The following is a 15,471-nucleotide window of genomic DNA, read 5'->3' as shown; positions in this document are numbered from 1 at the left end:
CCCTTCATCTGAACAGTAGACACTGTACCCAACACATAGTCTTTTTTTTTTTTTCTTCTGAGATGGAGTCTCAGCGCAATCTCAGCTCACTGCAACCTCCGCCTCCCGAGTTCAAATGATTCTCATGCCTCAGCCTCCCGAGTAGCTGGGATTACAGGTGGGTGCCACCATGCCCAGCTAATTTGTGTATTTTTAGTAGAGATGGGGTTTCACCATGTTGGCCAAGTTGGTCTTGAACTCCTGACCTCAGGGGATCTTTCTGCCTCAGCCTCCCAAAGTGCTGGGATTATAGGCATGAGCCGCTGCTCCTGGCCCCAATATGTAGTCTTTTTTTTTTTTTTGAGACGGAGTCTCGCTCTGTCGCCCAGGCTGGAGTGCAGTGGCGCGATCTCGGCTCACTGCAAGCTCCGCCTCCCGGGTTCACGCCATTCTCCTGCCTCAGCCTCCCGAGTAGCTGGGACTACAGGCGCCCGCTACCACGCCCGGCTAATTTTTTGTATTTTTAGTAGAGACGGGGTTTCACCGTGTTAGCCAGGATGGTCTCGATCTCCTGACCTCGTGATCCGCCCGCCTCGGCCTCCCAAAGTGCTGGGATTACAGGCGTGAGCCACCGCGCCCGGCCAATATGTAGTCTTTTATCACTCCTCTTCCAACCTTCCCCCGCCAAGTCCTCAAAACTCATTATATCACTCTTATGCCTTTGTATCCTTATAGCTTAGTTCACAGTTATAAGTGAGAACATACAACCTTTGGTTTTCCATTCCTGTACGCTACTATATCTTGACACACTACCTTGAGTATAGGAGATGGTCAACAAATGCAATCAATAAATCTCTGTAAATATTATCATTATTGCTAGGGTTAGTTACCTAGCAGCTTTTACTACACACACACACACACACACACACACACACACACACACGTTGGCACATGAGCTACAGCATAACTGATGAGCAACAGATATAATCAATAAATAAATATTGTCCATTATTTCTGTCTTCCTATTATACGAATTAGTTGTGTGGTAGTTTTTACTACACACACACACACACACACACACACACATTCACACACACACACACGAGCGCTAAGAATCTGAATTATTCCTGAGCACCCGAGTTTAAGCCAGCACCCTGCCAGCTCCCTGGTCGCCTCTCCCAGGTGGGTGGGTTCTGCAGCTGTTGTCTAGGCTTCCATCTGAGGTTCTCAGCCCAGCGGAACTTTCCCAGCAGCTACTCTCTCATCCATGTTTTGCCTCCCGAAACAGCTGATCGATGCAAAGGCCCCGGGCGCCCTCTGCTGGCAGAGGCCTTGCAGGACTTGTGGCCATCGCCCAGGCGGTCGCAAAGGGACCCAGTACCCGAGAGACCATGCCGTCGCTGGGCTGTTCATTCGGGCTTCATCTCCGCCTACCTGCCACCCTTCTTCCCAGTCTTCCATATTGGCTGGCTAACTGTCACCCTTCCATCTTCTCTGTCTTTCTGCATTTCTCCAAGTCCCCCCTCTACTTTCTGGAAGCTCAGGAAGGAAAACCTTCCTCCGAGAAGGGGTGTCCTGAGCCAGGCCCCTGCCTCCTGAGTTTGCACACTCTACTTCCTTGCATTGTCCCGTTGGGGTCAGATTTCCTTGCAGAGCTAAGAGTGACTTGATAAGAAGGCAGAAGGATTGGAAGAGAGGGACATGCGGATAGAGAAGGTGGCATTACCTTCCCTTCTCTACAATTGTAAGAACATTTCTAGAGATTTGAAATGGACACTCTTGGGTGGTAAAGTGAAAAATGATAGATTTGCCTTCAGATTTCATTTCCCAAATGCATCCATTATGTAAGTCCATGGAAAATCCATTTCCTTGTCGGTTAAACTGGGAATATATGCCTATTTTGTGGCATTTGCGTGAGGCTTGAAGAGGTCACATAGAGAACAGAGCCTGGGGCATGTGGTGAATAGCTAACTCTCTCCTCTCTTGTAGGAGCAGCAAGGTCCTCCTCTTGGCTGCATCCTGTCTGGGCTCAGCACACGCCCAGGCACTATGGCCCTTCCAACACTGACAGTCTGTGTGTGTCACAGGCAGGTCCTTTAGCACCCTCTACCCAAGCAGTGATGAGGAGTGCTAGGATGTCTTTTGAAGACATCTACCATGACCTGTTAGACAAACAAAGACTCTATGCCAGGCATACAATAAATATTAACCCTTCTATATTCAACTTTCTGAGTGAATGCTTAGGGAAAGGCAAGCTGAGAAATAACACCACAATCTGGTCATTTTTTAGTACATAATAAAGTATAAAATATACTTAAGCATTTAGTTTGCTTTTAAACCTCATAGAATTCTGGAAAATTTAAATATCAGATTGAATCAACTTTAAAACTTAACTCATGGTTGAAAGCAATATATTACTCAATTTTGATCTGGGGCCAAACCACCTGGGATCTCCCACTTCCCAGCCTTGTGGCTTTAGGTAGTTACATAACTTCTTTGTGCTTCAGCTTTTCAATGTCTGAATGGGGAATGTAAATGACACCTACTTCACAGAGTTGGGTGAAGAATAAGTACTGCCAATTGTGTCTGGTGCATAGTAGGTGCTCAATAAAAGGCTATTGTTATTGTAGCCATTCCACTAAGGCCAGCTGAATAGCTGTTATGATCCCCATTTTACAGAACAGAACCTTGAGATTTGGTTGGTTTGCTCCAGGTTACACAGCTAGGATGCAGTGTGGGCAGAACTGGAGCCCAGTCCTCATAGGCTCTTCTCAGCTTCCAAGGCTGAGCTACCTCCTCACCCTTAGCCTCTCCTGCCCAGAGTGAAAACAAGTGCTGGGGATCTTGTAGGGAAGAGACCTTGTGCAGCAGCACCCAGCACATGCAGAATTCCTGATAGCAGCCCCCACTGATTATTCTGCATGGCCATTTTTTGTGTTTTCCCCACTAGGCTGAGAAGATCTAGAGGACAAGGGGAAACATCAATCTGTCTCTGTGTTCTTAGCACCACCCAGCACAGGATTCCACCCAAGTATGTGCTCAGTGCATGCTGGTTGAATGACTAGGGCATGGACTACCCCTCCATCCTGCTACATCTTTCAGGGAAAAATCTATCACCAGAGGCCACCTCACAAGGGAAGCATGAGGACATTTAGTCCTGGCTAGGGTTATATGCTATGTGGTGGTACTTCCATCTACCAGAAGCCTGTCTTTTTAAATTCATATTGCTGTTCCACACTCCCAGATTTGTAGACAAAGACCAACCATCTAGGTAGAACCCATTATCACAGGCACACACAGACATAAACAAGGATGACTCCACAGACAGCCATGGCACACCCACACACAGCAGCATGTTTAAATGGCAAGTGTGGGCCTTAAAACTCACCATCATGCACGTGCATGCCTGGGCAGACAGTCTTAGGCCCAACCAGACCTGGGTTCGTATCCCAGCTCCACCACCTGTTAACACCAAATCTCATGCTACTTGTCTGCAACTTAAAGATAATAATATCTATCTTTTGGGATTGCTGTGAAGATTAAGTGATAAAATGTATGTAAAGTATTTAGCTAGATCCTAGCAAATTATAAAGATTCAATGAATAATATAGATGACAAAGACAATGATGATAATGATGGTGATGCTGGTGGTATAGAAGATGGTGATAATGTCACATCCTCTGGACTCAGAAATGAAGAAAGTGTTCATTAAATGGATGAATTGATGATGAGCTTCAAAGGTGCCTGGAGTGGGGTGCAGAGATGTTGAGCAGACAGGAAGGTGACCCAAGCCACTCAACACTTTTACAGCTGCTTTTGAACTGTCTGAGATACAGGCTTCAAAGGCATTGCTTTGGCATCACATATTTTTGTTTTCGTGCTTCTGATTTTCATTTCAAGGTTGACCATTCCATGTGTCAAAATGAAGTAATAAACATCTTCCTCCTTTTGTTCTTCTCCTCCCCCTTCTCTTCTCTCCTCCTCCTCTCCAGACTATAATTCATGTCTTTAATGCTGGGAATTTCTGAATATAAAGGGACCTCATAAGTCATATTTAATTTGGAAAAGACCTCGATACCATCCGTGCCAACTGGCTGCCAAGTTTTCTGCTTGCACACCCTCAGTAACAGGAAGCTCACCACCTCTCTTGGCAGGCTGTTAATTTTTAGGCAGGTCTATTGTCTAGAAGAATGAAACCTGCCTCCCTCTGCTGCACTGTTACTACCATCCTCTCAGAACTTTGTTCACAGTTCAGTTTTCTGGGGTCATTCAGAGGTCTGTCTTCTGTTCCCTGGGACTGGCCTGCAGGAAAGGGTTAGAGGCACCTAAAGAAGTTAGAGCAAGGGAAAGAGCACTAACCTGGAGTCAGAAGACATGGGTTTGAGTCTAACCTATCAGGTTGTGATTCAGCAAGTCATTCCCTTTCTCCAGGCCTCAGTTTCCCCATCTGTAAAAGGAAAAGTTTGAGCCAAAAAAAAAAGTCTCTTAGGGCCCTTCCATTTAACAAACATCTATTTTTTCCAAGGTTTGTTTGTTTGTTTTTCTTTTTTTCAGCCTAGTCTTGCCCCTTGTTCTGCAAACACTACGCACTATTCTCAGTTCTCACATCCTGGTTCAACATTGCCACTGCTTATGCCAGGGGACATTTAGCGGCCACATACAGTTTATAGAGCATCAGAAAGTATCTTAAATAATTGGTAGGTTTTTCCCATTAAGTGCTTACAACAGCCCTTAGATCTGAGTCTCACTTTATAGACAAGGAAACTGAGGTTCTGAGAGGAACAGTAGCATGCTTGAGATCATACAGCCAAGTAAGCAGTGGGGCTAAATTTGAACCCCAGCCTGCCTGATTCAGGAACCTGTAGTTAGCACCATGTTCTCAGAGCTGGGATTCAGGAAACCAGAGGCATTACAGCAAAGTCACCCCACCATGAGTCTTTATTCTGACTACAGCATCCTGCCTCCTTGCCCTGTAGTCCTCAGCAGTCTCCACTTCCTCGATTTGGCAGTCTCTCTGCTCCTCTCCACAGGGAGAACAACTTCATCAAGGACTTTCCCCAGCTGGCCGATGGGCTGTTGGTGATCCCGCTGCCGGTGGAGGAGCAGTGCCGGGGGGTCCTCTCCGAGCCCCTTCCAGACCTCCAACTGCTCACTGGTAAGACACATGTGCCAGACCCTTCCCAGGTTCCCTGACCACACACCGAGTCTCCACACCTAGTGCATATCAGTCTTCAGCAGATCCAAGATGGGCTCTGTCAAGCCTCCTCCTTCATGAGGAAGGGTATGGGAAGGAACTTACCCTTTCTTGGGCTCCTGCTATTGGCTGAGCAGAACCAGGGACTTCCCTGAGACCTCAGACTTGGGACTGCAGTCATCTTTGAGAGGAGGTTCCTCTGTGAGAACAGGAACGATTTTTCTCAGTGAGAGTTTTGCCTCTGTGAATGAGTCTCAAAACACTTTTCATTCTCATTGACAATTTTCTGGTATTTTTCCACTGTTAGTATTTTGTTTTCTTGGTTCGTTTTAAGTCATTCCAAAGTAAAAGAAGTGGACTCTCCAATCAGGAGCCCCTCCTACTTGAAAGCACTCGAGTTACACAGCTCGTTTTTGTACGTGGGCACTGTGCCATCTGTGGGGTGGGTATTATTTTTACCATTTGATAGATTAGGAAGCTATACTTAGAGAGGTAGAAGGGACCAGTCCAAAGTTACACAGCATATCTGCCAGGACTAAAACCTGGGTGCTGTAGCACCAAGTCTTTTGCCCTTTCTACTCCACTTTGCCGCTCCCCCACCCCTGCAACCACTTTCTCTCTCCACTGGGAAGTTGCCTTTTGCAGGCTTTCCTGAGACTCCATATTTTCTGTCCAACCCCAGGATGCTCTTTCCTCTTTTTTTGCTCCCAGTTCCTCTCCTACCCTTTTCTTAAGAAATTTCCTAAGATGTGAGGTTCTCGACTCTGCCTTTGTGATACTGTGGTTGTGTGCCTTATCCACTGCCCAGGGAGAATAGTCACGGGGGAATCGTCATGGGGAAGGATAATAGAGCTCTTTCACTGAGAGGGGAATTGTTCCCCAGGGAAGACCCCACAATCTCACAGACCTAGGTTGAAATCTCTGTCTGACTTCCCCATCACTTGCAAGCTCTGGGAAACCTCAAAAGAGTCATCTAACTCCCGTGAGCCTTTCCTGTAAAAGAGCATAGATGGAGGAGAGAACCCACATGTGCTTAAGGGGTCCTGGGGGCCAGGCACTTTTTGTGTGTTAAACCATGTAACCCTGCAAGGCCATTATTGTCCCCTTTAAACTTGTTAGCAAGGACATGAACTAATCCAAGGCCACGTGGCTAGTCTATAGTCATGTCAAGATTTAAACAAAGTCGGTCTTGACTCCAAAGCTGATGGCATATCCACTATCTTACATCACCCCTGACCTGTGCTATTTCAAAGAGGGACCCAGATGTAGATCAAATGAAATGATGGATGTAAAAGACACCTTGTAAAATGTTACAAAAATTTCTATGCCTTCCTTAATTTTCATTTTTTTTAAGATCATAAAATTTCGGAGCTAACATGGACTGCAAAAGGTGTCTAGTCTAATCTTCCCTCCTAATGAGGAATCAAGTCTATAATATCCTTCCTGAGTGGTTATCCCTCTTTGGATACCCCCAGTGATGGGGAGTTTACTACCTCCTAAAGCAGACATGTCCACGGTCTGTGAGGAGGTGCTGTGCTTTAATGGAAAGGCCCCTGAACCTGTCATTGATCCTGGTATGTCCTTGGACAGTTTTGCTCTCTGAGCCTCAGTTTCTTCCTCTAAAATATAGGGTATGGGCCGGGCGCAGTGGCTCATGCCTGTAATCCCCACACTTTGGGAGTCCGAGGCAGGTTGATCACCTGAGGTCAGGAGTTTGAGACCAGCCTAGCCAACATGATGAAACCCCGTCTCTACTAAAGATACAAAAAATTAGCCAGGGGTGGTGGTGGGTGCCTGTAATTCCAACTACTCAAGAGGCCGAGGCAGGAGAATCACTTGAACCCAGGAGGTGGAGGTTGCAGTGAGCCGAGATCTTGCCACTGCACTCCAGCATGGGCAACAGGAGTGAAACTCTGTCTCAAAAACAAAACAAAACAAAACAAAACACAATAACAAAAAAATAGGGTATGATAATTTTTTTTTAGGATTCTAATGAGAAATAAAGATCATGTATATAAAATGCTTGGCACACTATGGGTATCCATTAGTGGTTCAAATTGTTATGATTCTTTGTTTTGACTCAAGGATCCTTGGAGATTTCCTAATAAAGGGAACTGTTGCATTTCAAAAGATTTATTATTATTATTATTATTATTATTATTATTATTATTATTATTATTACCAGGAAAAATTCCTCCCTCCATCACATAGCTTCATTCCAACCATAATCCCCAGGTGGGGAGCTGAGATGGGGAGGGCAAGATGAGAGTCAGCGATAGAGTAACCCAGGGATGAGTTTATGGTTAGGAACAGAGTGAGAGTTAGGCCGCCAGTGGATAGGCATTTATTGAGAGGCTACTATAAGCCAGGCTCTCTTCTAGGCTCTGTAGAAGGGGAGGAATATAGACCGTGACCTTGACCTCAAAAAGCTGACATCCATTCCATTGGAGAAGCTTTTATTTCAGGCATGAATCCAGGAATGAGCAGAGATGGAAGGAAGTGAGGGATGGAGTGAGAAGATGGTTTTACAAATTACTTGATAATCAGAAGGAGTTTTTAAATTTGTTTTGTTTTTATGTTTGGACATCATGCCACCAAGTGAAAGAGCTGCCTCTCAACAGCCTGCATCATTCTGCCTCTTCTGTTGGAGATAGGCCTTGGCTGCCAATGCCCCCAGCAAGTCTGCTTTGAACATGAATGAGCAGTAATGGAAGGAGCAGAGACTGCCTTGTCCCTGGTGTCTGAATCTTCTTGTGCAGACATTTTCTCTGCCCTTAGTCAAAAACATAGCCCTCCCTTCCTCCCTCCACACAATCTCCTTTTCTCCCTAGCCTCTGCAAAGGAAGGCCAGGAGAGGCAGAGCAGATAAACAAAGAGGATGTATTTATAACAAACAACCTCACTCCAGTGGACATATCTTTGGGGATCATGAATATTTTACTTTAAAATGAAAGCCTCTAAAAAACTATTTTATTCCTGAAAAGGCTAAGGAGCATAAGGAGGAAAAAAAAAAAGTTGACAGTAATGGACAACTTTAATACTGCAGTAATGTCCAGGAAGAAATCATTTGTTCCAATGAGATTCTCATTTTAATCTTGGTATCAAATATCTCTTTAAGTGCCTACTCACCAGGGGACAAGAGAAAAGGATAGAAAATGTGCCTGCCATTTGCAGAGGCACAAGAAAGTGTGGATACATAAAAACAGTAATAATAACTGCTGATGTGACTAGCATCTTTTTAATGTATTTTTGTTCAGCTTATAAAAAAGAGAGTTTGCAAAGCTTAGGGTAGAAAATTTAGAAAATAGATGTGAATATAAGTCAGAAAACAAGAATTTTTCATTTACCACCGCCCAAAGTTAATCATTTGCTAACACTTCGTTGTGTCTTTTCTGTTTTTATTTCTTGTTTACACCAGTGTTTCCTGAAATTTATTCTATAAAACATGAATTCCAAAGGACCTTTCATACAAAAGGGGTTTTATGGTCAAAGAAGTTTGCACACTACTTTCATGCATATTAATATAATCAAGATGCTGAGAAATTATACAGTTAAACTTTGTTTTGCCTGTGCTTCTCAGTCTTACTTGAAATAGAAAGAGTTTATTTCTGTATACGTATATTTTACATAATACTTATGAACATCCATGTTTCCATGTTAAGAAATGATAGTCTACATAGGGGTCAGCAAACATGAAGGGAAAGTTAATAAATGCATTAGCCTTTGCAGGTGGTTTGTATTGCAACTGCTCAACTCTGCTGTCATAGTGTGAAAGCAGCTACAGAAAATACATAACAAATAGGCTGTAGTTTACTTACATGTGGTCTACATGCACAACATTTCTAGGTTACCAGAGGGCTCCCACTTCTGGTACCTTACTTGAGCCTCACAACATGCCTACGAAATAAGAGTATTAGAGAGAGCTACAGTGTCAGATGTGGAAACTGAAGCACTGGGATGTCTAGTGCCTGGTGGCAAATTGCAAATGGGGTTAGGTAAGACATAGATCTGACCTGAGGTTGCTCTTGCTTGTAGGGTAAAGGGGACTTGCAAGCTATAGAGCAGAGAGAAAAATGAGGGGTAGGGCTGAGATTAGAGACCAGAAAGAGGCCTGGAGGGTGGGGTTCATAAAATTGTCAATCCCAGTGAAAGTTGTACTTCAAAGAGGTGTCTGTTTCCCAGAGCCAAGAGCTGCAGGGTGAACAATGTGGTGTGAAGCGTCTTAATTCTGGGCTCACGTGACCATCTTATTTTCTCTCCCAGGAGATATCAGGTATGATGAGGCCATGGGTTACCCCATGGTGCAGCAGTGGCGGGTCCGGAGCAACCTCTACCGTGTGAAGCTCAGCACCATCACCCTCGCAGCAGGTGAGGACCACTGCCTGGGCAGCCAGGGGACTTGGAATAATTTAGCACTTGTTGCCAAGGACCTAGCATGTGCCAGGGCATATGAGAGCACTGGGGATGCTGAGGAAATGAGGATGCATCCTCTCTGCCATCAAGGAGTCCTAGGGAGGGTGGGTGGACAGGAGTCTGACAGACAGTAGGGTCGATGCAATAATGGGGAAGCGGTGGCACAGAAGATGGAGCTAATCATTCTGGGGGAGCTAGAGAGGCTTCCTGGAGGAAAAGGTATCTGAGTAGGGTGTGGAGGGATGAATAGGAGAGTAGGGATAAACAGTATCTAAGTCATATTTATGTTTTTGAAGTATTTCAAGCTTGTGAATTATAAATTCTCCTCAGACACCAATTTCTCTTTCTCTCCTGGCTAATTTATTTTCCTGTCCATCTCCGATACAAAAATCTTATATAACCCCCACACCCCCATCCCTTTACATGCACCACCCACATTATATCCACATGAACTTTAAGCTCCAACAGATGGCAACAATTTATAGTGCCCAAAATGGTGCATGTTCTCTCATGCCACAGTGACTTTGCCCATACCGTTCCCTCTGCCTGGACCTCTTTGTCTTGGGAACATATACTATATTACTCTGTGATGCCTCCCCCGTTCTCCATTCCCCTCAAAACAACTCACGGAATTCTCGGTGCTTAAATATCTATATCAAGACATTAACAAGTCCTTGATTTATATTGGAATCTTGTCTATGACCTGAGAACTGTGGGCGGGGCTTGGGTCTTATTTATTCCAGTATCTCCAAAACTAACAAAGATTAGCACGTTGTTGGTGCTCATGTATGATGGAGGAATTTTTAAAAATAAATGAAGACTGAAAAATAAGGAATGAATGAAGGAATCTGGAAAGATGAGGCCTGACCTAGGATATTCTACCCTAACTCTTACTAATAACACTTTCACTGGTTTATTGTCTGAGTGTCCTCTAATTATCTATGAGGTCTTTTGTTCTCTTTTCTTTGTTCATCAGCAAAATGAAGCTCTTACAGCCTGGGAATTGGAGGATTTCACCCTCTGGGAAGTAGAAATAGTAATTATTGCTGACATCTGTTAAGCATTTTATAATAGTTCATTTCTTATGACAGAACAGTACTGTGAGGAAGACATTATTTATCCCATTTTTCTTCAGATAAGTATACTGAGGGTTAGGGAGGTTAAATAACTTGCCCAAGGTCACACAGCTAGTAAGTGGCAGAGCAGGGAATGAATGAATCAAGGATTTGATTGCAGTTTTGTCTGCCTGGATAAGACCCTCAGGGCATCTCTGTGGTATTGTTTTTTATTACTTAACAGAAACCATCTCGTTATTAACACTACTGTATTAATTACCCAGTTGTATTACTTAACAGGTTGATGGAGAGGGGTTGTTCTCATCAAACACCCATTCTTTGAGCCCCCTATTTTTGTTTTCTGCCCCCCACACCCCACACTGCATTTGTGAATAAGACTATGATGTTCCTGTTAGAAGTACAAAGGTGCATCTGCTTTAATTAATCAATAATGATGCTCCCGGAAAACCCTTTTGTCAATCAAATGTTGGCAAATTGGAGCTCACTTTTAATGCTGGAGAGAAGCTTGTTCTTTTACATTTTACTTTGATGTGGCACAGTGTTGGCTGTTCTTGTAATAATTGTGGTTGGTGTGTTTGCTGTGTCCCAGGAACTGGGCCATGTACCCAGTTGGGGTGGGTGTGCAGGGAGGATGCATGTGCGGATATAGAGACAAATAAGGTAGAGCTTCCGACTTTAAGGTGGTGCATGTTGAAAGTGCAGACAGTAGGCACTCCTGTCCATAATGATGTGAAAGGCTTCTTGGAGAAGAGGTGACTTCCAGGGGCCTTGAAGCATAGGTGTGACTTAGGGAGGACATAGGGAGGCCATTTCAGGTGTGTGTGTGTGTGTGTGTGTGTGTGTGTGTGTGTGTGTGTTGAGTGTAGTGAGAATGCAAGGAAAGATAGAATGATAGAAATTTCAGGTCACATTCAGGATAAATAATAAAACTAATTTGGCTGGAGCTAAAACTTAGTGTGGGTGGCTCATTAGAGATGAGCTTGGAACCTTGAATTTCTAAAGAAGGTCACTAGGCTTTGTCCAGTAGCAGGGAGGAGCTCAGGAATGTCCCTGGAAGAATAGCTTGCTCATGTGCCTGTTTGAGGAAGGAGAGAAAGAGGGAGCAGTTTTTACTGAGTGACTGCTGTGCAGGCCCCATGTTAAGTGCTGAGGACTTAGCCTAGGACTAAGAAATAGAGCAGCAAGAAGGCTCTGTGGAAATCTAGGGAGAGAGAACATACCACTGTTAAAGAGAGGGAACAGCAGAGATATAAAGAAAAGCAATGCTACAGGAAGCTAAACCAGGAATCAGATTCATGGACTCAGAATACATGCTGACTCTGGGCAAATGCAGCCTTAGGATTCCAGCCATGGGCAGTTCAAGCCCTGGTTTGTTTGGTGTGGTGGAAAATGCATGCAGTGTGCAGTGAGAACATAAGTGGGTTTGAGTCCAGCTTCTTTCTCTACCTGGAAGTTCAAGATAACTCAATTTTAGTCTCTCAGCTTTGACTTGCTCATTATACAATGGGTGTTGTTGTTGTCAAATTATATATGATTGTGGCTAAGGTTAAGTTACATAAAGAGGGTGAAACATCTAACAGTTTTCCCAGTACACATTGGTTGCTCAGTGAGTGGATATCAGCTTTGACTTCTTGATTTATCTTTTTTAAGTTCCCATGGTCTACGTTGCTGAGTTTAGGCCTTCTTCTCCTGCAGATTCCCTCTTGGTCACCGTGTCTGATGTACCCCTCAGAGAGGGCATTCATTGCTATTTAAGTGAGGGAATTATGTATATGTTTGGACTAGTGCAGCCACCAAGCTGCCACTGTGCTGAGGGGTAAGGCACAAAATACAGGTTGGGAAGAACTCCTGCCACCGTATAATTTGCTAGCCGCCAGCCTCTCACATCTGACCACCTCCACATGCTCCTCTCTTGTCCAGGCTTCACTAATGTTCTCAAGATCCTGACCAAGGAGAGCAGTCGGGAGGAGCTGCTGTCCTTCATCCAGCACTATGGCTCCCACTACATCGCAGAGGCCCTCTATGGCTCAGAGCTCACCTGCATCATCCACTTTCCCAGCAAGAAGGTCCAGCAGCAGCTGTGGCTCCAGTATCAGAAAGGTAAGCCCGGAGTGCCTACTGTAGGAGGTGGCCAGGCAGGCTATAGAGGCAAGGGGTCTGGGGAGACAACTGAGCTGCCTTGGATCTAAATCCTGGCTCTGCCACGTCTAAGCTGTGTGACCATGGGCAAGTCCCTGCCTCTCTCTGAGCTTCAGTTTCACCATGGGCAGAGTGAGGGATCGTATAATGATTTTGCAGGATTCTCTCAAGTCAGGCATTTTCTGAGGCCTCAAGTTAGTGTTCTAGACTCCAGAACCCTTGCCTTCTCTTGCAGGTACTTTGCTTCCCACATCCTCTCTTTGAAACAACTGCCAGAGATCAGGTTGGGGGTCAGCAAGTGGTGTCTTCTTGACACTTTCTTCTCTCCAGGCTTCTTGGGAGAACCCAAGAAGATCTTGGGTTCTTCTCTCCCAAGAAGAACTCAATTCCTTTGGAAAAACAATCACCTCATAACCAAGCAGACGGTTTCCATTCTGTCCTGTGGTGAGGCTTTTATCCTCAGGAAGGGCCAGCAGATTTCATTTTCCTCTGACTCTCAGCTATTATCAGAATTGGAATTCCTCAGACCAGGTGCTGGAGACCAGTCTCTGCCCACTCACCTTGTGAAGGTTATTCCTTTTCCACCTCAATTTTCTCTTCCTGTGAAATGGGTACGTAAGTAGCTATTCTTGTCTGCTTCTCACATTAAAGATAAGTGGTTTATGTAATAGCATTTTGAGGAAGTTAGAATATCGCACATGTGTATATATGTGTTTTAATAGGTCAGTGTATTCATACTCCCATTTTACACATGAGAAAATGAGTCTCAGATATGCCACATCAAGTACTCATAGACACACAGCTAATAAGTAGCAGGGTCAGGATTGGAACCCAAGGCTGGCTGGCTGCAAAAGCCCATGTTCTTTCCCTCTTTCAACTATACTGAAATGCTTCTTGATATAGTTAATACTATTATTATCAACTATTTGTAAAAGAAAGTCTCTCAATTGATGGAAAGGGTGAAGAGCAATGTTAAAAACATGCTTGCATCTTTTCATACAGCTCAGCCACCCTATCTCCAAGAACAAAAGCAATCATAACAAAAAACCACAAAATGTGGGAGCCAGGAGGGATCTGAAGGATCTCATTGAGCATAGCACTCCAGTTTTGCAGTCGAGGAAACTAAGTCTATAGGGGAGAAGAAGGGAGCTTTCACGCAGCTTTGCTTGGCAGGGCCAAGACCAAGTGGGGTGCTCTACACCTCCTGTCTAGTGCTTTTTATGCAGCTGCACATTCCCAACTGGATAAAACCCTAGTCCACCTGCTTCCCAATCTCTAGATCCCTTCCCTTTTGTCCCTGGGGGCTTTGCATCCCCAGTCGTGCTCTCAGCCCTTTCTGCTTCCTGTGTGCAACTGTGTGGGGCACGGGGTGGTTTATGGGCACAGTGGATATAATTGAGTTGTCTGGGAATAGCTCCGTTTTATGGCTGTGTCAATGACAGTCTTTAAGGAAGTGCATTAAATCAATAGAAGTCTCATTGTGCTACCCTACAAATAATGTGACACATCATTAAGCAGGGCAATAAGCTTCAGGACTTTGAAGTAATACTATTAGGTTATGTTTATAAAAACCTTCACTCACTGTGGCTACATAACTAATTTGCTTCATACCACGTTTGGGGCTTGGGACACTACTCTGATTCTAAATCCCACCCCTTCTCCATCCTTAGCTGTCTTCAGACTTTAGACTTGACTTTCTCATTCCAGAAAATCCCATTCCTTGTATGGTGGATCATGGAATCTGTTACAAGTAAGATGGGAGAGGGGAAGAAAGAGTGCTGAAACAACAGCTGGAGGGGTCCCCCTCAAGACCTGGCTTTGCCGCAAACTTGTGGGGTAAACTTGGTGTTTTCCTTCCTGGGCTTCTAGTCTGCAAAGGCACTTTTCTTGCTTCCATCGTCCATACTTGCTCCCAAGAAAAGGACAGAGGATGCATTGAGGTCAGCTTAACCATTCTGTGTGTGTTTCTTCCCCTCCATCTTCACCTGCTGTGACCACCTAGATGGTAGATCAAATACTCCGGTTTTATTTTTTATATTTGGGAGTGATGCTAGGGAATGGGAGATGAGAAGCTGGGGATATGCATCTGTAGAGTTGAAAGAAGCCTTTGGACTTAAAGATAGCTAGTATCCCCTTTTCTCCCCGGCCATGAGTTATGTGTCACTGCCATCTGCTAAACGTTGGAAACCAGGCCAGGATGAATCTGGGCTTGGAGGCTGATAACTCGGTGGGCAGAACTTGTGAGAGGAGGAGAGATAGTGCAGTGCTGAAGTGGGATGGAGGGTGTTTCATGTCTTTACTCCTCTTTCTACACACCTGGCAGGTAACCTCAGGTAAAGGAACTTCTAAGTCTCAGTTTCCTCATGTGTTAAATGAGGGATAGTAATTCTCTTGCATGGCTTTTGGGAGAATAAAATGAGATGATGTAGGTAAAATGTCTGGTACATAGTAGGTACATAGAAAACAGTAGCTTGAAATAAAGTAAAAATTGTGGGCATTGGCTGAGGATTCTAGTCCCAGCTCCATACCTTGCTAATGTGTGAGGTCAACCCTCATTTTTTTTTTTTGAGACGGAGTCTCAGTCTGTCACCCAGGCTGGAGCTCAGTGGCACGATCTCTGCTCACTGAAAGCTCTGCTTTCCGGGTTCACGCCATTCTCCTGCCTCAGTC

General features: G+C 44.6%; 1 protein-coding gene across 3 annotated transcripts in view; it reads left to right on the top strand.

The window, feature by feature from the left end:
• The window catches only part of ASTN2 (astrotactin 2), a 991,946-nt gene that overhangs the window by 676,525 nt on the left and 299,950 nt on the right, over window positions 1-15,471 (top strand). For all 3 annotated transcript variants that reach the window (NM_014010.5, NM_001365069.1, NM_001365068.1), the window contains 3 exons: window positions 5,010-5,134; window positions 9,437-9,541; window positions 12,583-12,762. In NM_014010.5, the coding sequence (NP_054729.3) occupies window positions 5,010-5,134; window positions 9,437-9,541; window positions 12,583-12,762 (410 nt within the window). The remainder of the gene's footprint in view (window positions 1-5,009; window positions 5,135-9,436; window positions 9,542-12,582; window positions 12,763-15,471) is intronic.

The sequence above is a fragment of the Homo sapiens genome, chromosome 9 (genome assembly GCF_000001405.40).
Source record: "Homo sapiens chromosome 9, GRCh38.p14 Primary Assembly".
Classification (NCBI taxonomy): domain Eukaryota; kingdom Metazoa; phylum Chordata; class Mammalia; order Primates; family Hominidae; genus Homo; species Homo sapiens.
The sequence above is the reverse complement of the archived record's forward strand: the minus strand, read 5'-3'. Positions and strand labels throughout refer to the sequence as shown.